Source organism: Homo sapiens, chromosome 15, assembly GCF_000001405.40.
Source record: "Homo sapiens chromosome 15, GRCh38.p14 Primary Assembly".
Classification (NCBI taxonomy): Eukaryota; Metazoa; Chordata; class Mammalia; order Primates; family Hominidae; genus Homo; species Homo sapiens.
The window spans coordinates 40859509-40886534 of NC_000015.10; the positions used below are offsets into that span (position 1 = coordinate 40859509).

Genomic DNA, 27026 nt, shown 5'->3' on the forward strand with positions numbered 1-27026 from the left:
ATCCCTGAGACCGCCCCAGCCATCCTCTGCTCTGTGCCCACCCACATGACTCAGAACTTTGATCCCTACCTCCATGTCCTGAACAGGCAGTTTCCTCCACTTCAGAAGTCCCCTCCGCCCTGGAAAGCTCCTACTTTACCCCGTGTTCCAGCTCACGAAGCTTTCTCTGGCTCTCCAGCCAAAGTTCATTGCTGCCCTCTCCACGCACTCCTGCTCTACACAGCTCCGCTGCACGCATAAGTCCAAGCTAGTGTGTGTCTCCCTTTATCCAGACAAGACTCCTCAGGGCGCTGACCAGGTCTTAGTTATCCTAGCGTCTCCCAAGCTGGGCCCTGCTTGTGCGTACCAGGTATCTGAAAAATGGCTGCTGGAACAAAACAGAGGCCGGTCAAGTGGAGGAGATTAAGGTTAATAAGTGACTTCGTGGAGAAAGTCTAACATCAGGTGAGTGGCCCTGCACGGTGGCTCACACCTGTAATTCCAGCAGTTTGGGAGGCCGAGGTGGGTGGATCACTTGAGGTCAGGAGTTCGAGACCAGCCTGGCCAACATGGTGAAACCCCGTCTCTACTAAAAATACAAAAATTAGCCGGGTGTGGTGGCACACACCTATAATCCCAGCTACTTGGGAGGTTGAGGCAGGAGAATCACTTGAACCCGGGAAGTGGAGGTTGTAGTGAACCAAGATGGCACCACTGCACTCCAGCCTGGGTGACAGAGTGAGACTCCATCTTAAAAAAATAAAATTAAATTAAAAAAAAAACTAGGTGAGTAGGGGTCTCCAAGAGATTCTTGCACACGTATGTACATAGCATTATTCACAATAGCTAAAACATGGAATCAACCTGAGTGCCTATCAACAGATGAATGGATAAGCAAAATGGAGTACACACAATATACACGGTGGAATAATATTCAGCCTTAAAAAGGATGTTCTAACATATGCTACAACACAGATGAACCTTCAGGACATCTATATTATGCTAAGTGAAATCAGCCAGTCACAAAAAGACAAGTATGATTCTACTCATCTGAAATGCTTAGAGTAGTCAAAATCAAAGAGACAGTAGAATGATGGTTGCTGGGAAAAGGAAAATAGAGAATTATTGCTTAATGGGTACAGAGTTCCAGTTTTGTAAAAGGAAAAGGCTCAGGAGATGGATGGTGGTGATGGTTGCACAACAATGTGAATGTACTTAGTGCCACTAAACCATATACTTTAAAATGGTTAAGATAGTAAATTTTACATTATATGTATTTTATCACAATAAAAAAAGATTGGAAAAAAATAAGATGAGCAGATGGGTGTGGGTGTTCCATGCATAACAAAATCACACTGAGCAAAAGCTGGGCAGTGGAGATCCTGGGTTTTGTTTGGGAATCACAAGCTGCTCAGTTTGGAAGCAGGGAGGTGGAAGCTGGGAGTTTGGTGGGTGGAGGGGATTTAAGCAGGGGAAAGGAGTGATCTGAACTTTAAAGAGTGGGCCGGGCGCGGTGGCTCATGCCTGTAATCCCAGCACTTTGGGAGGCCAAGGTGGGTGGATTACCAGAGGTTGGGAGTTCGAGACAAGCCTGACCAACATGGAGAAACCCCGTCTCTACTAAAAGTACAAAATTAGCTGAGCATGGTGGCACATGCCTGTAATCCCAGCTACTCGGGAGGCTGAGGCAAGAGAATTGCTTGAACCCGGGAGGCAGAGTTTGCAGTGAGCTGAGATCATGCCACTGAACTCCAACCTGGGCAACAGAGCAAGACTCCATCTCAAAAAAAAAAAAAAAAAAAAAAGGAGTGGGCAGATAAGCAGGCTACATCACCAGAGGTCACAGCACAGGGAGAGGGACAGAGGGAGGAAGCAACACCAAGTAAATTAGGCGAGGGAACCTGTGTGAAGCACATAGCAGATCTCTGGTGAAGGCTAGTCAAAGGTTGCACACTGGCAGCCTACAATCATGCTTTGACTCAAACAATCGTTTAGTTTCTTTAATTTAGTTGCCAACATTTAAGGAGTCAGAAGTCTTCATTGAAAAAAAAAATCCATATTGCTAGCTTCTTGTGAGAACTCTGGGGACCTAGCAATCCAGGCACAGAGTTCAGGGTCCTCTTTAGCTGGGCAGGCATTAACCCATTCACAGTCCTCCCCCACCCCACCCAGCATTAGGTGCTTGCCTGGGACTTCTAGGCATTCGCCTCTGGAACCCCCAGCATCTTTTTTTTTTTTTTCTGAGACAGAGTTTCGCTTTTGTTGCTCAGGCTGGAGTGCAATGGCACAATCTAGGTTCACTGCAACCTCGGCCTATCGGGTTCTAGCAATTCTCCTGCCTCAGCCTCAGCCTCCAGAGTAGCTGGAATTACAGGCATGTGCCACTACGCCCAGATAATTTTTGTATTTTTTAGTAGAGATGGGGTTTATCAATGTTGGTCAGGCTGGTCTCGAACTCCTGATCTCAGGTCATCCGCCCTCCTCGGCCTCCCAAAGTGCTAGGATTATAGGCGTGAGCCACCACGCCCGGCCTAGAACCCCCAGCATCTTGTCCCTTACAACGCATCTTGCCTTCCCTATATTGGGTAGTTGTCTCCAAAATTTATTGGTCCCAACAGTTCAGGTAAACACTCACAAAAACTGGGTGGTTTCTCCCAAACCCATCCCTGCCCACTAAAATAAACAGCCCTGAATGAGGAGTGGTTTGCCCTATTGCACAAGACCACTCCCTTCCCCACCCAACCACAGCAGGACTAAAGCCTGGGAAGGTACCTTTAAGCTCCCCCGGGGAGAGATTCTTGTTAATAGCTCCACCTGGAAGTCCTAAACCCGGAAGCCCGGGGGTTTCCTAAGCCTTCCCACAGGCTCTCTGAGGGCTTGCCTCTCCTTCCCCACCTGCAGTGGCTCCCAGAGTTTGTATCAGAGGAGCCCAGAACCAGGGAGACTAAGAAAACAGACTGGGGAAGAAATAAAGACACCGCTTGTAGTGGAGTTTTTTGTTGTGGTGGTTTTTTCAAGGCTACATGTTTAGGAAAAAAAAAAAAAAAACTAAAAAAGGGTGTTAACCCAAATGACCATAGTGTTGTCTCTCACTGATACAATTACAGATTGATACAAAAACAGTTTTTGTGTTTTTTGTCAACTTGCATTTTCTAAATTTTTTTTTTTTTTTTTTTTGGAGACAAGTCTTGCTCTGTCGCCCAGGCTGGAGTGCAGTGGCGTGATGTCGGCTCACTGCAACCTCCGCCTCCTGGGTTCAAGCATTTCTCTGCCTCAGCCTCCCAAGTAGCTGGGATTACAGGCGCTCACCACCATGCCCGGCTAATTTTTGTACTTTTAGTAGAGACGGGGTTTTGCCATGTTGGCCAGGCTGGTCTCCAACTCCTGACCTCGGGTGATCCAACTACCTCGGCCTCCCAAAGTGCTGGGATTACAGACTTGAGCAACTGCCCCTGGCCTCAGATATATTTAAGAAAGAAAGAAAGAAATCACCAAAACATGAAGCTCTGAGATGTGGGAGAGACAACAGGGAGGGAGAAGAAGACAGAGCTTCTGGAGACCGGGGGAAGGGAGCCACTCCAGACTGTGGTGGCAATGCCACCAACAGAAACAGGGATGAGCAGAGGAGGGGCAGTTTCAGGGGAACCAGGCAGAAGGTGAGGGGCCACCCAGCACCAGATGGAGACTGGTTTTATTGATTTTGTCATCGGTTATTTAGCCTTTGTTTGCTTATGTCTTGCCTTATGGGGGAAGAACTAAAGACAGCTTAAAGGAGTCTATAAATTACGAAATAACATGGGTATAAAGTAGAAAGAAGTTTATTTATTTATTTTTTTGAGATGGAGTCTTGCTCTGTTGCCCACGCTGGAGTGCAGTGGTGAGAACTCGGCTCACTGCAAGCCCCACCTGCAAGGTTCACGCCATTCTCCTGCCTCAGCCTCCCGAGTAGCTGGCACTACAGGCGCCCGCCACCACGCCTGGCTATTTTTTATTTATTTTATTTTTTTAGTAGAGATGGGGTTTCACCGTGTCAGCCAGGACAGTCTCGATCTCCTGACCTCGTGATCCGCCAGCCTCGGCCCTCCAAAGTGCTGGGATTACAGGCGTGAGCCACCGCACACAGTCCACATGATCCCCTTTGCAACTAGTTTATGACCTTGGGTTAACCAGGCTGACCATGGAGTTAATCTGTGGTTTAACCATGGGCCCCTTTTTTTCTTTACTTAGTCTATGAAGAATGAAGGAGCTGGACTAGATAACAAGATCCTTTCTGTCTCCAAACGATGGCCTCCAATTACAGCCTCTAGGAGTGCCCCCTGAGTATAGGGCTGATGGAGGCTGTCAGAGCTGAGGGGTTGAGGCCCAGAGAGGGGCAGTGACTGGCCCAAGGTCACACAGCCAGTGGCTGGGGACATAGCCAGGCCAGGAGGTCAAAGTTCCAGAGCCTCAAACCCTGTGGCTAGGCAAATCTCATCTGCTCCAGACACCAGGCTCTTAGGTTCGGTTTCTGTCTTTTTTCTGGAAGTGGGACAAAGGAGCCACAAGCCAAGAAGCTGTCAGGGCTGGTCCCGAGCCCCAGGAGGCTGGGAACCAAAGGTCCACACCCATGTAAACACGGGCCAGCACTGATACCTCTTACTTGGCCCTTGAGAGCTCCCTCCACATTAGTTCCTGGCTATTATCTTGCTTATCCCTGCAGGTCTGCTGGGAGCCAGGGAGGGGCAGAGAGTATCAGCCCCACTTCACAACCAGGAGAAACTCTAAAGAGGATGAAGGTGGTAATTTGCCAAAGCCACCCAGCGAGTCGGGATGCGGCTGGAACAGGAGGCTGAGTCTCCAAGGCCCTGTGGGTGAGAGGGTGGTCACCAGAGCTCATGGCCTGCTTGCCGGGGGAGGCGAGGGGAGCGGAGGTAAAGAAATGTACACAGTCCCAGGAATCGAGGGTCCACTGTTGCATAAGGAGAGGGATCTCACCACCCCTGGAGAGAGACCTATAGGGACAGGCTCTGCTTGCTGGTGTGGGGCTCTGAGGGAAGACAGGCAGAAGCAGTGGAACACAGCCACAGAGAATACAGGTCTGAGGGAGGGAGTGATCATGTGGCAGGTGTCCCAGGTGTCCCTGGGTGGGGTCTGTGCTGCTTTTCTGCCAGCTCCAAGTTACCCCAAGGAACCCTTATGCCCACCCGGGACCCAAAGACGCCCCTGCTGCCCCTCACTGCTAAGAAGTCAGGAAGTTGTCAGGATACCAGGTGAGGAGAGGGACACTGGCACAGGTGAGGGTCAAGGAGACCATGGAGCTGGTGACAATGACTGAGTCTCGCTTCCAGAGGGGTTACAGGTAGGGTGACCATAACCCACGTTATTAATAGAGCTCCTGTTCAGTCACAAAATCATTGAGTATGACAGTGAATTCCATGGTCATCCCAGTTATGGGACCAACACTTTAAGCCTCTGCTCATGGAGCAAGTCTTGAGAACATTCCAGTAAGAGGGCAGGCCTGTTCAGTGCTGACACCTGTCCTGCCTCCTGCTCCCTCACTCCCCAGCCTAGGACAACCTAGTGAATCCCAGAAATCATGCCTCCCACTGTTGCCCTCTAAGGGAACCATTTCTGGGGAGCAGAACCCCCATATGGAACGCCGGGAAGAGGCATAGACCCAGTGTCCGGAAACCTGGGACCAAGGCCCAGCTCTGCCTTAACCTTGGTCATCATGCTTGGTCTATCCCCTCATCTGAAAACTGGTGCTAATAAAAGCCATGTGGGCCGGGCATGGTGGCTCACACTTATAATCCCAACACTTTGGGAGGCTCAGGCGGGCAGATCACTTGAGCTCAGGAGTTCGAGACCAGCCCAGACAACATAGTGAAACCCCATCTCTACAAAAACTACAAAAATCAACTGGGCATGGTGGCGCACACCTGTAGTCCCAGCTACTCGGGAGGATGAGGTGAGAGAATCCTCTGAGCTCAGGAAGTCAAGGCTGCAGTGAGCTATAATCATACCACTGCACTCCAGCCTGTACGTCAGAGTGAGACCCTGTCTCAAAACAAAAGGTCCGGGAACAGTGGCTCACATCTGTAATCCCTGCATTTTGGGAGGCCGAGGTGGATGGATCACCTGAGGTCAAGAGTTCGAGACCAGCCTGGCCAACATGGCAAAACCCCATCTCTACTAAAAATACAAAAATTAGCCAGGCGTGGTGGCACATGCCTGTAATCCCAGCTACTCAGGAAGATGAGGCAGGAGAATTGCTTGAACCCGGGGGACAGAGGTTGCAGTGAGCCGAGATCACACCATTGCACTCCAGCCTGGGCAACAGAGCGAGACTTCGTCCCCCCCGCAAAAAAAAAAAGAAAAAGAAAAAAAAAAGCCGCTGTCTGGGCCATCTTGGAGTTCAGTTGTAAGGATGTATTAGAGCGGAGGATGGGAGGCAGCCTCCGCATTACTGCATGCAGAGGCAGTAGTGCCCAGGTCCAGGAAGTTACTCCCTGCTCTTGCCACAGGGTGACTAATGTGGCCCCTCTGCTGAATTCTGCTCACTGGGGATCTGGCCCAGGCCCAAGGAGGGTGCTGGGAACAGGGTTTCCTGGCAGCTGAAACACAGTGGGCAGGTCTGACCTGTGAGAACCGCAGTTACTGCCTGAGGCCTGGGCTGGTTACAGAAGGGGCTGGTGCTCCTGACGCAGTCTGCTCTCGGTCTCTCTGTAGCTCGTTCCCAGGAGAATGGGGAGCTCAGGGAAGGTGCGTCACCTCTGCCCTGGGCACGACTCTGCTCCCAGGGAGAAAGCAAGGCCACAGCTCCTTCAGGTGTGCACACACTCACACACCAGCCCAGTCCCAGCGTGCACACCCAGCACAAACATGCACACACAGATCCACACAGAGATGAGCATAGGTACATACAGATGCAGACACACTGCCCCAAGAAATGAGGTCCAGCCTAGCTGTATACACACAGGCATAGATACACATATAAGGTTCTGTATAATACACACTTTTTTTTTTTTGAGATGGAGTCTTGCTCTATCGCCTAGGCTGAAGTGCAGTGGCGAAATCTTGGCTCACTGCAACCTCCGCCTCCTGGGTTCAAGTGATTCTCCTGCCTCAGCCTCCCAAGTAGCTGGGATTACAGGCATGCGCCACCATGCTCAGCTAATTTTTGTATTTTTAGTAGAGACGGGGTTTCACTATATTGGTCAGGCTGGTCTCAAACTCCTGACCTCAGGTGATCCACCCACCTTAGCCTCCCGAAGTGCTGGGATTACAGGCGTGAGCCACCATGCTTGGCCTTATAATACACATTTCTAATGACACGTGTGACATGGATACACAGGCATATACACATCTTGCGCAAAGGTACACACTGTATTTATAGATGTAGATACACAGACTTGCACATATATGGAATTTCTGTATTTAGAGTTTTTCCACAAAGACAACACCCACTTTAAATATACAAGAGCAAAACCAGGGACACAGGGAAAGGTACATGAACACAAATATATACATACCTTGTCAGCATTTGGTATTTATTGAACACCCCACAATCTGCTACTCATATTCCAACAGAAAGAGACCCCCACACAGAGTCATAGACATAGAAACCCAAACATCCTCATCAGTTCCACTCAGGATTATATGGAGACCCAGTCTCCAAGCCAAAGATGAAGAACTGTTTTTCTGTAGATAGTCAATGAGCCATGGTGGATAAAACAATCAGTTGTAGATGTAGTGTCATTTATAATAGAGAAAAAAAAGCTTAAAGGTAAATAACCTACATGCCCCCAGATGGGGATCTACTTAAAGGTATTCAGGTCAGAGTGGAACAGTAAGGAAACATACACATACAGTTACAGCCTCATGGTCACAGTTTATAACATGAAAAGACAGTTAAGTTTTTAAATTAAAGAAAATTGTCTACACAGCATAATCACAAAAAGTGTGTAAAGAAATATGCATAGGGCCAGGAGCGATGGCCTACACCTGTAATCCCAGCACTTTGGGAGGCCGAGACGGGTGGATCATCTGAGGTCAGGAGTTCGAGACCAGTCTGCCCAACATGGTGAATCCCCATCTCTACTAAAAATACAAAAATTAGCTGGACATGGTGCCGCATGCCTGTAGTCCCAGGTACTCAAGAGGCTGAGGCAGGAGAATCACGTGAACCAGGGAGGCAGAGGTTGCGGTGAGCTGAGATCGCGCCATTGCACACCAGCCTGGGTGACAGAGCAAGACTGTCTCAAAAAAAAAAAAAAAAGATGCTTAGAAGAAAAGATTGGAAGGAATTACACCCAAATATTATTATTGATTGTCTTTGGGAGTTAAGACTTTAGAATACCTTTTTTTTTTCTTTGAGGCAGTCTTGCTCTGTAGCCAGGCTGGAGTGCAGTGGCGTGACCTCGGCTCACTGCAACCTCCGCCTCCTGGGTTCAAGCGATTCTCCTGCCTCAGCCTCCCAAGTAGCTGGGATAACAGGCACACGCCACCATGCCCAGCTAATTTTTGTATTTTCAGTAAAGACGAGGTTTCACCATGTTGGCCAGGCTGGTCTCGATCTCCTGACCTCGTGATCTGCCTGCCTCGGCCTCCCAAAGTGCTGGGATTACAGGCATAAGCCACTGCACCCGGCCTAGAATACTTTTTAAGATTTTTTAATCTTCTAAATCTTTGGATTTTCTAATTTTTATAAGTATTTATTATGGAAAAAAAGACATTATTTTTAAAAAATCTAGCCAGGTGAGGTGGCTCACACCTGTAATCCCAGCAATTTGGGAGGCCAAAGCAGAAGGATCACCTGAGCTCAGGAATTAGAGACTAATCTGAACAACATAACTACACCCCATCCCTACAAAAAAAAAATTGTTGAATTAGGTGTGTACCTAATGGTAGTGCACATCTATAGTTCTAGCTACTTGGGAGACTGAGACAGAAGCATTGCTTGAGCCTAGGAGTTCAAGGCTGCAGTGAGCCATGATCACACCACTGCACTCTAGCCTGGATGACAGTGCAAGACCCTGCCTCAAAAAAATGGAAAACGGCTGGGTGCCATTGCTCACACCTGTAATCCCAGCACTTTGGGAAGGTGAAGTGGGTGGATCACTTGAGGTCAGGAGTTCGAGATCAGCCTGGCCAACGTGGTGAAACTCTGTCTCTACTAAAAATACAAAAATGAGCTGGGCCTGGTGGTGCACGCCTGTAATCCCAGCTACTTGGGAGGCTGAGGTAGGAGACTCACTTGAACCTGGGAGGCGGAGGTTGCAGTGAGCCGAGATCATGCCACTGTACTCCAGCCTGGGCGACAGAGTGAGACTCTGTCTCAAAAAAAAAAAAAAAAAATTAGCTGGATGTGGTGGTGGATGCCTGTAATCCAAGGTACTTGGGAGGCTGAGGCAGGAGAATTGCTTGAACCCAGGAGGCGGAGGCTGCAGTGAGCCAAGATTGTGCCACTGTACTCCAGCCTGGGTGACAGAGTGAGACTCCATCTCCAAAAAAAAAAGAGAGCTGGGTGCAGTGGCTCATGCCTGTAATCCCAGCACTTAGGGAGGCTGAGGTGGGCAGATCACGAGATCGGGAGATCAAGACCATCCTGGCTAACATGGTGAAACCCCGTCTCTACTAAAAATACAAAAAATTAGCCAGGCGTGGTGGTGGGCACCTGTAGTCCCAGCTACTCGGGAGGCTGAGGCAGGAGAATGGCGTGAACCCGGGAGGTGGAGCTTGCAGTGAGCCGAGATGGCGCCACTGCACTCCAGCCTGGGCCACAGAGCGAGACTCCGTCTCAAAAAAAAAAAAAAAAAAAAACAGAAAGAAAGAAAAAATTGAAAAAAATCAACTAAGGGTTACACAGACATTAAAAGCAATTTATATTGATAAGGACATATGTAAGAATGTATATGTAAGAAACATATAATTTTATCCAATTCATATAATAAATATTCCTTTAAATATAATTTAAAAGAGCAGAGAAAAGGGAAAAGAGGCCAAGGAAACAGACAGAGAGATAAAAACAAAAAAACTACCCCAGAAAAGTAGGTACCATATTCTAGAGAAAGAGACAGAACCAAAGAGAACCAGTGGATTCGGAAGCAGAAGCGAATCCCTCTTGTCCTGCACAGGCTTGGGGCCAGAGCCTTAGAGGTCCTTTCCAGCAAGCTGTTGACATTAGGCCTCAGTCTTCAAGCTCCAAATCTGGAGCTAAACTTAATCCTCCCAGCCTCTCCAGGGCTCACTGGCTGGCTTTTTATTCCTAAGCATTTCAGGGTCAGCAGCAAACATTGCCTGAGCCCCAGACCTTGTGGGAGCAAAAGGAACTTAAACGTGGCTCTCTCTCTCTCTTCATTTAGCTGGGAAGATGCAGGCTGAGTCAGTCGCAGAACGCCCAGTGTCCTCAGTGTGCCAAGGGAGCAGTGAAGACACTGATACAGGTAAGCATCTGTTCTGGAGGAGGGAGGTATTGAAAGCTGGTTATCATGAGGAGAAATGGGGCATCTGGGAGGTGACAGGGAGCTCTTTCCAAACTAGGGGATCTGGCACAAGCCAAGACTGGGAGTCAGGAAGTCGGAAATAGCTGGGGATCACCAGAGCGAGCTGGCCTGGTCCAGGGTGCTGTCAGATTTGAGAGGGCCTTGAATGCTGAAATGAGGAGCTGGAAGTTCATCATCAACAGTGAGAGCCAGTAACAGTCTTGAGCCTTGAGTTGGGGGATGCCAGAGTGAACACAGCAGCACGGGACAGATTGGAGTGGGGAGCTGCAGTGGCAGGGACCTTGGGGTGTGGGTGACAGAGGTCCTGACCAGACTTGGAGACCCAGCAAGAGAGGAGGCATGGTGACCGAGGTTTCAATTTGGGTGACATGGATATACTAGTACCACAAGAGAGAATTAGGGAAGAAGTTGGAGGTGGGGGCGGGTACAAGGATAACCCCCTTGTGGGGGATGATCCCCACCCCAAGGCACGTCCAAGGCCCCTCAGAACAAGTTTAAGAACCTCAAACCCAGTCTGAGTCCTGAGTCCTTCATTTTTCAAATGAAGACTGAGGCATAGAGAAGGGAAATTATTTGCCTAAGGTCATGGTTGGTGTCAGAGTCTGAACTTGAACCCAGGTTTCTGCCCCAGAGGGGAGTGTGTCAGGCTGGGTTGAGGTAACAACAGGCCATGCTGCTGGGGTGTGAGACCCTCAGCACCTCCACCTGAAGGGTAAAGGGAACAGAAGGAGCTCCAGTTGGCTGGAGCTCTGGGGACAGGCCCTGGTGGGGCAGGAAGTGGACAGTCTTGGCTAAAACTAAACTTGGGGATTATCTGAAGTTTCACTTGGCTGGGATTTCTGTCCCTCAGCCATGCTCTTTCACACACACAGACACAGACAGAGACAGACAGACAGACAGACATACACACACACACACACACAGACACACACACACAGCTGTAGCTTCCTGCAGAGGGAGATGGGCTCAGAGGTGGGCTGGGCCAGGGCATGAGTGCTCATCTGACCCAGCAGCTGCCTAGCAGGTGTGCCAGGTGTGCCTCAGAAATTCCTCTCCCAGCTGAGCCCAGTGGCTCACACCTGTAATCCCAGAACTTTGGGAGGCTGAGGCAGGCAGATCACAAGGTCAGGAGTTCGAGACCAGCCTGACCAACATGGTGAAACCCCATCTCTACTAAAAATACAAAAATGAGCCAGGCATGGTGGCGCACACCTGTAATCCCAGCTACTCAGGAGGCTGAAGGAGGAGACTCGCTTGAACCCAAGAGGCAGAGGTTGCACTGAGCCAAGATCACGCCACTGCACTCCAGCCTGGGTGAAAGAGCGAGACTCTACCTCAAAAGAAAAAGAAAGAAAGAAATTCCTCTCCCAGAGTAACACATACCCCTGTATCCAACTCTAGAGTTTGCAAAGTGCTCTTACAGTCACTGGGTGATACATATCATTTAAGCTATTACCTTTTCTGTCTGGTCCTCAGTCTCCTTATGGTAAAGTAAGTTTTGTTTTGTTTCATTTTCTCCCTGGGTGTCCTTCAAAGTCCCTTCAAGCTCCAACATGAGGGAATGTTCTCCAGATCCCTGCTCCTCTCCAAGTCCTCTCCCAATGAACTCGCTCTTGCACAGGATACTTGGGGATAAACCTCTATTTAAATTGTTCACAAGCAGCACCCTGACCTTCACTAGCTCCTTAGGTGCCAAGGCTGAAGACTGGGTCCAACCCAAGTCTAAGAACTTTGGCCAGTGATTGAGGTTTAGGCTGTATGGGTTCCCTTTATGTTCAGGCTGTGAATAGAGGTCGGAGGGGGGGATGGTCCCCTAACCTGAGCCCCAGGGCCCTGTGAACTGCCAGAAGGAACAGAGCAGAAAAGTTAGAAGGCTGGGGACTGACCTTGAGCTCCAGTGCTGAGCATGGTGCTCTAGAAAGGAGGGGTGGAGGGGAGGGGCTCCACCCACCAGGTGAGGTCATGGGAAACCAGCTCTGGCGCTGACACCTGGGGAAACCCGTTTCCAGGCCGCTTCCCACGCTAGCTCTCCTGGGAACCAGCTGAGCCCCAAGCGGGGAGCTCCACACCTACCCCCACAGTCCAGTTCCCATTACACTGCCCCCACCCCCAGTCCAGCCCCCACCTTTCAATCTAGCCTCAGTCCTTTGGTCCCCAATCTGTCTCTAGCCAGGCAGTTAGGCCTTGAGGAGGGTTCTGAGGGAGGAGTGGGCTCCAGGAAATGACAGAGACAACGCACGCCTTCACAGACTTAAGGTTTTATTTGCAGACTCTGCACTGCTCTAGCTTCTAGGCTGTGTGACCTTGAGGAAAGGGATGATCCCCAACCCGGTCCTCCTTCAGGTTCTAATTTGCAGCTCCTCCCCCTCCTTTTGCTGGGCCTTGACTCTCACTTCCTGCCCCACTCCTGGCTCAGCCAGTTTGGGCAGTGCCTAGGGAGCCCAGAGACCCAGTTCTTCCCAGGGGCCAGCCCCGCCCTCCCTGGCCTTGGGGATTGAGGGCAGCCCAGGTGTCAGCCTGCTCCTCATCCACCCCACTTCCCTCTCTCCTCCTCCTCGTCATCTTCTTTCCAGGCCTTATCCACCATCAGTCCCAGGCTCCAAGACCTCTTTTCCTGCTCGCTCTCTCAATCTCTCGCCCACTCCATCCCAAACTTCTCTCCAAATCGGGGTTGAGCCCCTTCCAGCCCTCCATAATGCCAAGCGTTCCCCAAGCTCTTTCTCACCCCTGTGCCAAGGAAGGGTCCTAATTCAGCCAGGCTGACCTGAGGGCCCAGGACAAGAAACTGGGTTCCCAAACTGCTCGGAGGTGACTGACCCTGTTAGGACCATCCCATGAAAATCAAAGTGCCAGGTTTTTTTCTGTGAGCTTTGACTGGAGAAATCCAAATCAGAGCCTTCCCTCCTAGGCTCACCCAGGCATATCAGAGTGGGCAGTTAGAGGCCCATGTCCCCCGAGTGTTCAGAAGGGAACTGAGTCCTATGAGGTGGCCAGGCCCTGCCAGTAGCTGCCGCAAAGGCCCGGGTGCCCCAGGTCTCAGAAGTCTTTGGCCTCCTGCCTACTACTTGCTATGCAGCCATAGCTGCTCAAACGAAGCAGAAGAACTTCTTCCAGCGGCAGCGGGAGAGGGTGCGCACACCTTTGGCATTCAGTTTCTTCTCCAGCCGGGCTTTGTGCTCAATGGCACTGAGAATAGCCGAGTCAAATACTTCCTTCAAGTTCTTCTGCGTCAAGGCTGAGCACTCAAGGTAGCAGCAGGCTCGGATCTTCTCGGCCAGACCCTGAGCCTGGGGTTGGGGCACGGGGCCCTCCCGGCCCCCCTGGTCCAGCTGAATTAGTACGTTGACATCGTCCCTCAGGTCGGCCTGGGTGCCCACCAGCAGCACAGGCGCCTGGGGGTTGTGCGTGCGGATCTCGGGCAGCCATTTCTCTGTGATGTTTTGAAAGGAGCTGGGCTGCACCACGCTGAAGCACGCCAGGAAGACATCGGTATCCGGGTAGCAAAGGGAACGAAGTCGGTCAAAATCCTCCTGGGGTGGGAAGGCCAGGTGGTAAGGATTAGCCCCCCGACACATGGAATCCATTTCTCACCCGGGGCTGGAAACCTGAGACTCCAAGAGCCCAAGGCTTTCTCCATTTGCTCCATATGGGGTCCTCCCAGCCTCCAGCCCATCTCCCCGCAGACCAGTAGAGGCCGCGCCCAGCTTCTCACCTGTCCCGCTGTGTCCCAGAGCTCAATGCGCACCGGAGCTCCATCCACCAGGACTTGCACTGCAGGGGCGGGGCGGGGAGAGCCTGAGTTAGGAAGAGCGTCCTGGGCCGCACCAGCGCCACCTCGGGGCCTGCTCCAGTCTCCTCCCCGGGGTCCTCTGCGCCCTCCCGCCGAGACGCCCGCCCCAGCTCCCCGGTGCACAGCCCCGCCGCAGCCACGCGGCCGCACGGGCGATTGAACGTACGTACCAGAGAAGGTGTCCAGCGCAGTGGGCCGGTAGCGCGCGGGGTACCCATTGCAGGTGTAGCTGACGATGAGGCTGCTCTTGCCCACGGCGCCGTCGCCCACCAGCACGCACTTGATGCCCAGCTCTGGGGGCGCGCTACGCCGCCGCGGGGGAGGGGTCGGGGCCCGGAGCGGGGGCGGCTCGGCCTCGCTCAGCTCCCGCGGCGGCATGGCCCGCTCCGGGGGCAGCAGAGGGGCCAGCCCGGGTCTCGGCTTCGCTGCGCTCGGTGAAGCAGGTCCCGCTGGCTGCCTCTGACTGAATGGGTCCAGGCTGGGCGAGTCGGCCCAGCGCTACCAGCGGGTTTGTGTAGGGCCCCGCCCATCTCATCTACATGTTTCAGGCGGCCCCGGACCCCACCCATCGGCGAAGATCTCCCGCGGCCAGGCACCCTGCGAGGCCAGGCGAGGAGGAGGAAAACCCCGGGAGGAGGAAAGGCAGGCAGAAAGCTGGAGCTCCAAGAGTCACGCAGGTACAAGGACAAAGAATCGTCAAATGAGAATACCAAGAAGAGATAGACATCCATGATTTATTGTTAGGAGGAAGAAGCAAGTTGCAGAACATATAATACAGTATGTTCAGGTTAAACAAGTGTGCAAATTAAACCTTGTTCAACTTACAAGAAACAACTCTATGCATATGTTTGCATGAGTATTAAAAAGTTGGGATAATTTTATTAATGAAAGAATTACTTTTTTAAATATTGAGGCTGAGAGCAGTGGCTCATGCCTGTAATTCCAGCGTTCTGGGAGGCTAAGCCAGGAGGATCACTTGACCCCAGGAGTTCAAGGTTACAGTGAGCTATAATAGTGCCATTGCACTTCAGCATGTGTGACAGATCCTAAAAACAAACAAACAAACAAAAAACCTGTTGACCCCTGAACAAAGCGGGAATTATGGGCGAGAAACCCTGTGCAGTCAGCCGAAAATCCCTATATAACTTTTGACTACCCCAAAATTTAACTATTAATAGCCTGCTGTTGCTGGGCTCCGTGGCTCACGCCTGTAATCCCAGCACTTTGGGAGGCCGAGGTGGGTGGATCACCTGAGGTCAGGAGTTCGAGACCAGCCTGGCCAACATGGTGAAACCCCGTCTCTATTAAAAATACAAAAAATTAGCCAGGTGTGGTGGCGGGTGCCAGTAATCCTAGCTACTCAGGAGGCTGAGGCAGGAGAATCACTTGGACCTGGCAGGTGGAGGTTGCAGTGAGCCAAGATTGGGCCACTCCACTCCAGCCTGGGTGACAGAGCAAGACTCTCTCTTAAAAAACAAAAACAAAAAACCCCCCAAAAAAAGTAGCCAAGCATGGTGGTGTGCATCTGTAATCCCAGCTACTCGGAGGCTGAGGTGGGAGGATGGCTTGAACCTGGGAGGTGGAGGTTGCAGTGAGCTGAGATCATGCCATTGCACTCCAGCCTGGGCAACAGAGCCAGACTTTGTCTCAAAAATAAATAAATAAATAAATAAAAAATAGGCTGGGCGCAGTGGCTCACACCTGTAATCCCAGCATTTTGGGAGGCTGAGGCGGGCAGATCACATCACGAGGTCGGGAGATCCAGACCATCCTGGCTAACACGGTGAAACCCCGTCTCTACTAAAAATACAGAAAATTAGCCGGGCATGGTGGTGGGCGCCTGTAGTCCCAGCTACTCGGGAGGCTGAGGCAGGAGAATGGCGTGAACCCAGGAGGCGGAGCTTGAGTGGGCCGAGATTGCGCCACTGTACTCCAATCTGGGAGACGCAGCAAGACGCCATCTCAAAAAAAAAATAAAAATAAAAAAATAAAAAAGGCCGGGCGAGGTGGCTCACACCTGTAATCCCAGCTAATTTTTGTATTTTTAGTGGAGACGAGGTTTCACCATGTTGGCCAGGCTGGTCTTGAACTCTTGACCTCAGGTGATCCATCTGCCTCGGCCTCCCAAAGTGCTAGGATTACAGGTATGAGCCACCACGCCCAGGAGGCTTATCATATTTTCAAACTTTTTTCTTCTGACCTGTATCAGAAAGTTAGAATCATCGTAAAGGTCTGCACCCTTGTGGTCTCCAGTTGGGTAGGCTGAGGAGAAGGAGGAAAAGGAGTTGGTCTTGCTGCGTCAGGGGTGGCAGAGGTGGAGAAGGTGGAAGGGGAGGCAGGAAAGGCAGGCACACTTGGTATAACTTTTATCTATTTTTAGAGATGTGGTCTTGATCTGTTGCACAGTCTGGAGTGCAATGACGCGAGCATAGCTCACTGCAGCGTCCAAACTCCTGGCCTCAAGCAATCCCGCCCCAGCCTTCCAAGTAGCTGGGATTACAGGCATGCACCCCCAGGCCAGGCTACATTTTTTTAATTTTTTTTTTTTGTAGAGACAGTCTTGCTTTTTTGCCCAGGCTGGTCTTCAACTCCTGGCTTCAAGTGATCCTCAGGCCTCAGCCTCCCAAAGTGCTGGGATTAAAGGCATGACCCACCACACACGGCCCTCAGTGTAACTTTTATTGAAAAAATTCTGCCTAAAATGGACCTGTACAGTTCACACCCATGTTGTTCAAGGCTCAGCTGTATACAGATCATGAGAGAGGCAGAGAAACACAAGTGTGAATACAGCAGGCAGGAATGTACTGTACTCCTTTTCAGAGGAGAGCTTTCTCTAGACTCAGCCTGAAGGCAAGCTGTGAACACTTTCACTCCCCTCAGCTAAAGGAACTCAGGGTGCTGAGAAGCTAGCTGGGGAGGATCTTCAAGGACAATTTCCATTTGAATATTTTATAAATCTCCAAATACCTAATATTATCTCATCATCATCAAAAGCACATAATAATTACCTATCTGCAGATGCTGTTCTGGGCCACCCACTGCCCTTGCCCTAGAAGGAGTTTGCAGACTGAGACAATATCTCCCAGGTAGCCCTGGGAAGGTCACCTGGAGAGCAAGTGAAGAGTAGCCTGATGCTAATTTTGTCTCTTTATTGCAACCACACCAAGTGACACCAGGCCCAGAATCCTTTCTCTGATCTCTGACCCTTTCATCTCAGCCTATGCAAAGATCACAGAAAACACCGTCACCTTCAGGGAGTCAGCCATTCACGAGTTTTGGGAAAGGAGAATGTTGGGAGGGGGAGGGGCAGTGAATATTAAAAGAGATAATTCTATTTCTCCAAGAGCTGGTAGTATAAAAGCCATAAATCCGTCCAGGTGCGGTGGCTCACACCTGTAATCCCAGCACTTTGGGAGGCTGAGGTGGGTGGATCACTTGAGGTCAGGAGTTCGAGACCAGCCTGGCCAACATGGTGAAACCCCGTCTCTACTAAAAATACAAAAATTAGCCGGGCGTGGTGGTGGCGCCTGTAATCCCAGCTACTTGGGAGGCTGAGGCACAAGAATTGCTTGAACCTGGGAGGCAGAGGTTGCAAATGAGCCGAGATCGCGCCACTGCACTCCAGCCTGGGTGATAGAGCGAGACTCAGTCTAAAAAAAAAAAGCCATAAATCCAAACCAAATCTTTACATCTCTTAGAAAAAGTGACAGGTTCCCTGATTTTTCTTTTCTTTTTCTTTTTTTTTTTTTTGCCAGGGTCTCGCTCTGTGGCCCAGATCAACAGATTCAACCTCAGCTCACTGCAACCTTCACCTCCCAGGTTCAAGCGATTCTCCTGCCTCAGCCTCCCAAGTAGCTGGGACTACAGGTGCATGACACCATGCCTGGCTAATTTTTATATTTTTGGTAGAGACAGGGTTTCACCATTTTGGCCTGGCTGGTCTTGAACTCCTGAGCTTAAGCAATCCACCTTCCTTGGCCTCCCAAAGTGCTGAGATTTCTTGTTTTCTCTTTTTGAGCCCAAAGGAGAGGACTACAGCTAGAAAGATGACTTAATCATTAAAATCTCGACTATGGGGATGGGGAAATCGTAGGAGCCCCTGTAACCACTTCTACATGCCAATGTCTTCATCCTACATGCCATACCTCTGAATGTCTGGGGATGCTAATAATCCCTAATTGTAGCCCCAAGTCTCAAAAACTTCTCAGACACATCCACATAAGTTTATTCATCTAGCAAGTGAAAGAGGCCTTACCTGTTGTCCTGCCTTTGTATTCCTCTAGAAAGCCCAAAAGCTGTTGTATTTGCTCTCCTGGAAAAGGAGTGGCATTTTTTTTTTTTTTTTTTTTTTGAGACGGAGTCTCGCTCTGTCACCCAGGCCGGACTGCGGACTGCAGTGACGCAATCTCGGCTCACTGCAAGCTCCGCTTCCCGGGTTCACGCCATTCTCCTGCCTCAGCCTCCCGAGTAGCTGGGACTACAGGCGCCCGCCACCGCGCCCGGCTAATTTTTTTTTTGTATTTTTAGTAGAGACGGGGATTCACCTTGTTAGCCAGGATGGTCTCGATCTCCTGACCTCATGATCCACCCGCCTCGGCCTCCCAAAGTGCTGGGATTACAGGCGTGAGCCACCGCGCCCGGCCAGGAGTGGCATTTTAAAAGACCTGGACATCAGGAGACCTGTCCCAGTGTTCCCAGTTCTTCAGCTCACTAGCTGTGTGATGCCTACCAAATCACTTCATCTGTCTCAGTCCTATAAAATGACAGGTGAAGCATGTTTATCTCTGAAAGCCTTTCTGGTGCTAGCAATCTGTGATTCAGGGATCCCAGGGAAGCTGCCCCAGCCCAGGTGTCTGGGACAGAATTACTACACACGCGCGCACACACACACACACACACACACACACACACACACACACACACGCTCTTCTTTGCAGTGCTCTTGTTTTTTTACCTGGATTTTAATAATAGTTTAATTATAGCTGTAAATTTGAGGGTAATCCTGTTTCATCCTTTCTGCAGGCAGGAGGGGTGTAAATACACAAATTGGGGGAGATGTCTGCTTGGGCACAGGTAAAAGCCCTGATGTGGCCTGAGACAGGTCATTATTTTCTGGCCGCTTAGGTGGGGACACTTTCCAACCTAGGTCCCTCTGTCTGAGCTGGTTTAGGGGCAGTTTTGTCAGCAAGAGGGGGAGGGAGGAAACAACTTAAGGTGCTGATGAGTCACCTGTTTCTCAGAGAAGGACTTGCTGGGGAAGTTTGCAATTCTGGCTGCTACTGCTGGGAAACTCCCCTCCTAAGGGTAGGCTGGGTCTTATTCCTGCTGCCTGCCAGATCTTCTGCCCCAACTTCCAGCTAGACACACATTTGCTAGGATTAAAACTTGGCTCTGACATTCTCCATGGAGAAATAGCAGATTATAGGACTGGGGCAGGAAATATACAAGTCTATACCAATATAAATAAATAATTAAATACATAAATAAGTGAGACATGCCGGGCCTGGTGGCTCATTCCTTCAATCTCAGCACTTTGAGAGGCCAAGGCAGGAGGATTGCTTGAACCCAGGATTTCAAGACCAGCCTGGACAACATGGCAAAACCCAGTCTCAAAAAAAAAAAAAAAAATTAATGGGGCATGGTGGCATGCACCTGTAAGTCCCAGCTACTCAGGAGGCTGAGGTGGGAGGATCACCTGAGCCTGTGAGGTTGAGGCTGCAGTGAGCCACTGCACTCCAGCCTGTGTGACAGAGTGAGATTCTGCACCCCCTATCCCCCCACCGCAAAAAAAGGCAAAAAAAAAATAGTTTACTTAAAAAAAACCAAAAACTAAAAAACTCAACCATAGCCCTGACATTGAATCACGGCAGTAATATCTTGCCTCCAAAATGTCCATCACAGCTGTATATGGCTTTAGACTTGTAAAAGTGCTGCAGTCTGCCCTGTCTCATAAGAACCAAGTGACATGGCTTAGGAGAGGGGTGTGTCTGAGAAGGTGTGGCTGTGTGTGTGTGTGTGCGTGCGTGTGTCTATTCCCATTTTATCAGTGAGTATAGGGGACCTGCCCCAAGATGAAAGAAACTAGTAAGTGGCAGTCTGTTCCAGAATGAACAAGCCAACCACAGGTCCACCCTCAGGCGTGGTCAAGTTTTTTTTTTTTTTAAGATAGAGTCTGGCTCTGTCGGCCAGGCCACAGTGCAGTGGCAAGATCTTGGCTCACTACAACCTCTGCCTCCTAGTTCAAGCGATTCTCCTGCCTCAGCCTCCCAAGTAGCTAGGACTACAGGAGTGGACCACCACGCCCAGCTACTTTTTGTATTTTTAGTAGAGATGAGGTTTCACCATGTTGATCAGGCTGGTCTCGAACTGCTGACCTCAGGTGATCCACCTGCCTCGGCCTCCCAAAGTGCTGGGATTACAGGCATGAGCCACTGTGCCCAGCCAGTGTTGTCAAGTTTTATTAGGTATTTTTGTTAATTCCATATCTTAAGTTTACTGAAAACACTGGAATGCCTATAGCAAAACCTGGACAAGAATAAACCAAAAGAAACCAACCCCCTACCCTACCACCACAATTATTCCGCTGGCAAATAAGGGATTAACAAAAGAACACCACGGCCAGGCACGGTGGCTCACGTCTGTAATCCCAGCACTTTGGGAGGCTGAGGCAGGCAGATCACCTGAAGTCAGGAGTTCAAGAGCAGCCTGGCCAACATGGTGAAACCCTGTCTCTACTAAAAACACAAAAATTAGCTGGGCATGGTTGCATGCACCTGTAATCCCAGCTACTCCGGCAGCTGATGTAGGGAGAATTGCTTGAACCTGGGAGGCGGAGGTTACAGTGAGCTGAGATCACGCCACTGCACTCCAGCCTAGGAGACAGAGCGAGACTCCATCTCAAAAAAATTAAAAACAAAAACGAAAGAACACCAGTGGTGGGGAAAAGTTATTCCAAGGGCTCCATCCAGAGAGAGGTTGTTTTTGAGTGAATGCACTCTCATTGTCTTTTTCTGTTTCTTCTGCATACTCCAGTCCAAGACCCCCAAAATCAGGCCTGCTGCTTAGGATGAGCTCAGAGACTGAGATGGGCAGGTCAGAAAGCTTTGAAATAAAAACAGAATTCAAGAAAAAGAATTTTATATTTAACACTTGCTTACCAACATACTGATAATAATTATATATTATATATAACTTAATATATAATTATATATTATAATATAGTTATATGATACAATAATAATAATACAATAACTTGACTACCCACTTTCTGAGCTTTCAGTGGAAATTGGGCCACCATAGGTTTTTCTCTTCCTTTTTCTTTATTTTATGCATTTTATTTATTTTCTTTGTGGAGACAGAGTCTTGCTGTGTCACCCAGGCTGGAGTACAGTTGTGCGATCAGGGCTCACTGTAGCCTCGACCTCCCAAGCTCAAGTGATCCTCCTGCTTCAGCTTCCTCAGTATGTGGCACCACAGGTGCATGCTACCACACCTGTCTAACTTTTTAATTTTTTTGTAGATACTGGGTCACCCTATGTTTCCCAGGTTGTTCTCAAACTCCTGGGCTCAAGCAATCCTCCTGCCTCAGCCTCCCAAAGTCCTGGGATTATAGGGGTGAGCCACGACACCCAGCAACACAGATTTTTCTCTATTTCCATGTGCTTGTGTCCTTGGAGGGAGTTTGTGGCAAATTTACCCAGCTGGGCTGAGTTTGCCCCATGGTGCTGCTGGTCAACCCTTCAAGTCCATTTCCTCAGTCCCCACACCCTCTAGACCACCCTTGGGCTCAGGCTGGCTCCTGGACTTCTGTCCTGTCTTCCCTGCTCCCTCGCACCCAGACTTGGCCTCCGCTTCTCCCTTCATTTCTCTCCACCTCGCCATCCAGCTGATCCCACCGCTACTGCCCCCTTCCAACCTCTCTTTCCGCTCAGATCTTGCACCCAAGCCCTAGCTTTTTAAATGCCTGCAAGAGTTGCCACCTAAAACCTTTACCTAAAAAACTCCCCTACTAACTTCCTTATTTTCTCTTATTTTTATTTTATTTTTATTTTTGAGAGAGTCTGGCTCTGTCACCCACGCTGGAGTGCAATGGTGCAATCTCAGCTCCCTGCAACCTCTGCCTCCTGAGTTCAATTGATTCTCCTGCCTCAGCCTCCTGAATAACTGGGATTACAGGTGTGCACCACCACTCCTGGTTAATTTTTGTATTTTTAGTAGAGAGGCGGTTTCACCATGTTGGCCAGGCTGGTCTCGACCTCCTGAGCTCAAGTGATCTGCCTGCCTCGGCCTCCCAAAGTGCTGGGATTACAGGCGTGAGCCACCACGCTGGCTCTATTTAATTAATTAATTTATTTATTTATTATTATTATTATTTTGAGACGGAGTCTAGCTCTGTCGCCCAGGCTGGAGTGCAGTGGCACAATCTCGGCTTGCTGCAACCTCCACCTTCGGGTTCAAGAGATTCTCCTGCCTCAGCCTCCCGAGTAGCTGGGATTACAGGTGCCCACCACCACGCCCAGCTACTTTTTGTATTTTTAGTACAGACGGGGTTTCACTGTGTTGGCCAGGCTGGTCTCGAACTCCTGACCTCATGATCTGCCCACCTCGGCCTCCCAAAGTGCTGGGATTACAAGCGTTAGCCACCGCGCCTGGCCATTTATTTATTTATTTTTAGAGATGAGGGGTGTCTCGCTCATCTCTGGACTCAAACTCCTGGCCTCAAGAGATCCTCCTGCCTCAGTATCCTAAGTAGCTGGGATTACAGGCGTGCCCCACTGCATCCAGCACCTCAGTATGTTTTTGAGATTCACTCATGCTGTTGTGTATAAGAGTAGCTTGTTTTTTTGTGCTTTTTAATTTTTATTTTACTTATTCTTTTTTTAGAGATGGGGTCTCTGTTGCCAGGCTGGAGTGCAGTGACATGATCATGACTCCACTGCAGCCTTGAACTCCTGGGCTCAAGAATCCTCCTGCCTCAGCCTCCCAAGTAGCTGGGACTACAGGCACATGCCACCACACCCGGACAGTTCTTTTTTTTTTCTTTGCTGAGTAATATTCCATTATATGGATATACCACAGTTTGTTTATTTTTTTTTTTTTTTTTGAAATGTCGTTTTGCTCTTGTTGCCCAGGCTGGAGTGCAGTGGTGTGATCTTGGCTCACTGCAACCTCCTCCTCCCAGGTTAAAGTGATTCTCCTGCCTCAACCTCCCAAGTAGTTGAGATTACAGGAGCCTGTCACCACGCCCGGCTAATTTTTCTATTTTTGGTAAAGATGGGGTTTCCCCACGTTGGCCACGCTGGTCTGAAACTCCTGAACTCAGGTGATCCTCCCACCTCGGCCTCCCAAAGTGCTTGGATGACGGGTGTGAGCCACCACCACACCCAGCCTGTTTATTCTCTTGATTGACATTTGACTTGTTTCCAGTTGCAGCTATTATGAATAATGCTGCTATAAACATTCATGTACAAATCTTTGTGTGGACATATTATTTTCATTTCTCTTGGATAAATACCCAGATATTGAATTGCTGGGTCATGAGGTAAATATGCATGTTAAGTGGCTGTTAGTAGTTGTACCATTTTATATTCCCACCAGCATTTTATGACACCCCAGTTGCTCCACAACCTCACAACACTTGGTGTTGTTGGTTTTTAATATTTTGGCGCTGGGCACGGTGGCTCACGCGTATAATCCCAGCACTTTGGGAGGCTGAGGTGGGCAGATCACTTGAGGTCAGGAGTTTGAGACCAGCCTGGCCAACATGGTGAAACCCCGTCGCTACCAAAAATACAAAAATTAGTTGGGCAGTGGTGGGTCCCTGTAATCCCCACTACATGGGAGGCTGAGGCAGGAGAATTGCTTGAACCTGGGAGGCAGAGGCTGCAGTGAGCCGAGATCGCGCCACTGCACTCCAGCCTTGGCGACAAGAGCCAGACTCCATTTCAAAAAAAAAAAAAAATTGGCCAGGCGTGGTGGCTCACACCTGTAATCCCAGCACTTTGGGAAGCTGAGGCGGGTGGATCACACGGTCAGGAGTTTGAGGCCAGCCAGACCAAGATGGTGAAAGCACGTCTTTACTAAAAATACAAAAATTAGCTGGGCACGGTGGTGGGTACCTGTAATCCCAGCTACTTGGGAGGCTGAGGCAGGAGAATCACTTGAACCTAGGAGGTGGAGGTTGCAGTGAGCCAAGATCTTGCCACTGCACTCTAGCCTGGGCGACAGAGCAAGACTCCATCTCAAAAAAAAATTTTTTAATTAAAAAAATATTTTGGATTTTGTTGCTGTTGTATTGTTGCTGTTTATTTTATTTTATTTGTTTTTTTGAGTCTCGGCTCACTGCAACCTCTGCATCCAGTGTTCAAGCAATTCTCCTACCTCAGCCTCCTGAGTAGCTGGGAGTACAGACACGCTCTACCATGCCTGGGTAATTTTAGTATTTTTAGTAGAGATGGGGGTTTCACCAAGTTGGTCAGGCTGGTTTCGAGCTTCTGACCTCGTGATCCTCCCGCCTCAGCTTCCCAAAGTGCTTGGATTACAGGCGTGAGCCACCATGCCTGGCCTGCTGTTGCTTTTAATACTAAATCTCATCATTTTTTAAAAGCTTGAAAACAGGCTGTGCACAGTGGCTCATGCCTATAATTCCAACACTTTGGGAGGCCAAGACAGGGGGATTGCTTGAACCCAGGAGTTCTAGACTAGCCTGGGCAATATAGCAAGACTCCGTTTCAGTTATTTTTTTAAGTTTGAAAACAGTTTCTGCAATAGGTCATACGGATGAATATATAGTTAACTCATATATACGCGTGTGATATAGTGTGTGCATGTGATGCACGTTAACATGCCAAGTCATGCATTCATTCAGCAGGCACTTCCCAAGTACTTACAGTGTGTCAGGCCTTATGATCTAAAAGGTTGTCAGGGCTGGAAGGATGAGAGGTGGCTATTAGATTTCACATTAATCAGATGAGGTTCCCTGGCTTCAACATCTTTTGAAATATCTTCTAGACTACTAAAGGATAGGTAAGAAGCATAGCACCCAGCTCTGAGGCAGTGCTCTGAAAACCATTATTTCCTGAGCACTGACCTCAAAGATCTCTAAATGGACCACAACAAGGGTTTGGCATTTTTTTTTTTTTGAGACGGAGTTTTGCTCTTGTTGCCCAGGCTGGAATGCAATGGCGTAACCTTGGCTCACTGCAACCTCCACCTCCTGAGTAGCTGGGATTATAGGTGCGCACCACCACGCCTGGCTAATTTTTGTATTTTTAGTAGAGACAGAGTTTCACCATGTTGGTCAGGCTGGTCTCGAACTCCTGACCTCAGGTGATCCACCCGCCTCGGCTTCCCAAAGTGCTGAGATTACAGGCGTGAGCCACTGCACCTGGCTGGGTTTAGCTTTTAGAGAATCACAGAATTATTAGAGATGGTTAAGTTCCCCCTTCACAATTTACAGGTGAGAAAAGAAAAGCGTAGCTCAGAGGGGGTAGGGGACTTGTCCAAAGGTGTTGGCTAAGTTGGGTTTCATATCTGAAAACAAGAGGGGCTTTAAGAGCTTGGCCAAGGAGGCCACTGGAGAAACAGCATGGAGAGTGGTAGTGGGGAGAGCAAAAACCAGCGGGGTGAGGGTGGGGCTCCTGGCAGATGTGGTGCTGGCACAAAGCATTGACTCCCCATTTCCCATGCTCCCTAAAGAAGCTTATAAACTATGCTGACAACTCAAACATTTCATCTTTTTTTTTTCTTTTTTTGAGATGGGGTTTCGCCCTGTCACCCAGGCTGGAGTGCAGTGGTGTGATCTCAGCTCACTGCAGCCTTGACCTCCTTGGCTCAAGCCATCCTCCCACCTCAGCCTCCTGAGTAGCTGAGACCACAGGCATGCGCCACCACGCCTGGCTCATTTTTGTATTTTTTTTTTTGGTAGAGATGGGGTCTTACTATGTTGCCCAGGCTGGTCTGGAACCCCTGTTTTTGTTTTTGTTTTTTTTTTAGACAGAGTCTCGCTCTTGTCGCCCAGGCTGGAGTGCAATGGTGCAATCTCGGCTCACTGCAACCTCTGCCTCCCAGCTTCAAGCGATTCTCCTGCCTCAGCCTCCTGAATAGTTGGGAATACAGGTGCCTGCCACCAAGCCCAGATAATTTTTATATTTTTAGTAGAGACGGGGTTTCACCGTGTTGGCCAGGCTGGTCTCAAACTCCTGACCTCAGGTGATCCACCCGCCTTGGCCTCCCAAGATGCTGGGATTACAGGTGTGAGCCACCGCGCCCGGCCACTCCTGGTCTTAAGTGATCCTCCTGCCTCAGCCTCCCAAAGCCCTGGGGCTCCAGGTCTGAGCCTGTGATGGAGTGGTGTGTGATAAGCTTCTTCTCCTAAAGCAGGGGCCGGGCAGTAGGAATGCAAGGGGACCTGCCACTTGTTTACAGGTACCTAGACCTGCTGGTCACCTTTAGGAAAGAGCCCAATGCAGTTGGGGATCTGGAAACTGATTCCCTTAAAATAATTTCTACCCTCTGTCACTTGGGAGACCCTTTCATACCCCTAAGGATGTGTGAACCCCTGTTCGAGGACCCCTGGTTTGAGGATGCTCTCATTTCTGACCTAGACAAGTGAGGCCACTGGGCCTGCAGTCCTGAGGGCAGTGGGGGGATGAAAGAGAGCAGCTTGGCTAGAAGCTCCCTCAGTGAGAGAGGGATGACAGTAGCAGGGAGGGGATACTTTTTGAGAATTGGGGCGATTCAGGTAGGTTTAGACACATGCAGAAGGGAGCCAA

General features: G+C 49.8%; 1 protein-coding gene and 1 long non-coding RNA gene across 2 annotated transcripts, besides 3 other annotated features; one reads left to right on the forward strand and one right to left on the reverse strand.

The window, feature by feature from the left end:
* Nucleotides 12333–12622: an enhancer, noted in NCBI's record as "active region_9268". NCBI's record gives its function as "activates an Ori minimal core promoter by ATAC-STARR-seq in GM12878 lymphoblastoid cells {active_cell/tissue: GM12878}" and the evidence as "EXISTENCE:reporter gene assay evidence [ECO:0000049][PMID:35858748]".
* On the reverse strand, nt 12706–14726 carry RHOV (ras homolog family member V). Its single transcript, NM_133639.4, has 3 exons — nt 14424–14726; nt 14176–14234; nt 12706–13993 (listed from the first exon to the last, which is right to left on the reverse strand). Exons 1-3 carry the CDS (start codon nt 14629–14631, stop codon nt 13550–13552), a joined length of 711 nt encoding a protein of 236 aa, NP_598378.3. The 5' UTR covers nt 14632–14726; the 3' UTR covers nt 12706–13549.
* LOC124903475 (uncharacterized) lies at nt 14234–15080 on the forward strand. The gene is made up of 2 exons (XR_007064600.1): nt 14234–14415; nt 14802–15080. It is a non-coding gene; the product is annotated as an uncharacterized LOC124903475 (long non-coding RNA).
* Nucleotides 14261–14780: a silencer, noted in NCBI's record as "silent region_6345". NCBI's record gives its function as "represses an Ori minimal core promoter by ATAC-STARR-seq in GM12878 lymphoblastoid cells {active_cell/tissue: GM12878}" and the evidence as "EXISTENCE:reporter gene assay evidence [ECO:0000049][PMID:35858748]".
* Nucleotides 25439–25488: an enhancer, noted in NCBI's record as "active region_9269". NCBI's record gives its function as "activates an Ori minimal core promoter by ATAC-STARR-seq in GM12878 lymphoblastoid cells {active_cell/tissue: GM12878}" and the evidence as "EXISTENCE:reporter gene assay evidence [ECO:0000049][PMID:35858748]".

Coding starts and splice junctions, on each gene's coding strand:
- RHOV (NM_133639.4), bottom strand. CDS start 14,631: ATGCCGCCGCGGGAGCTGAGCGAGGCCGAGCCGCCCCCGCTCCGGGCC. Junction 14,235..14,423: donor TGCGCTGGACACCTTCTCTG/GTACGTACGTTC, acceptor CCGCCCCTGCAG/TGCAAGTCCTGGTGGATGGA. Junction 13,994..14,175: donor TCTGGGACACAGCGGGACAG/GTGAGAAGCTGG, acceptor TTCCCACCCCAG/GAGGATTTTGACCGACTTCG.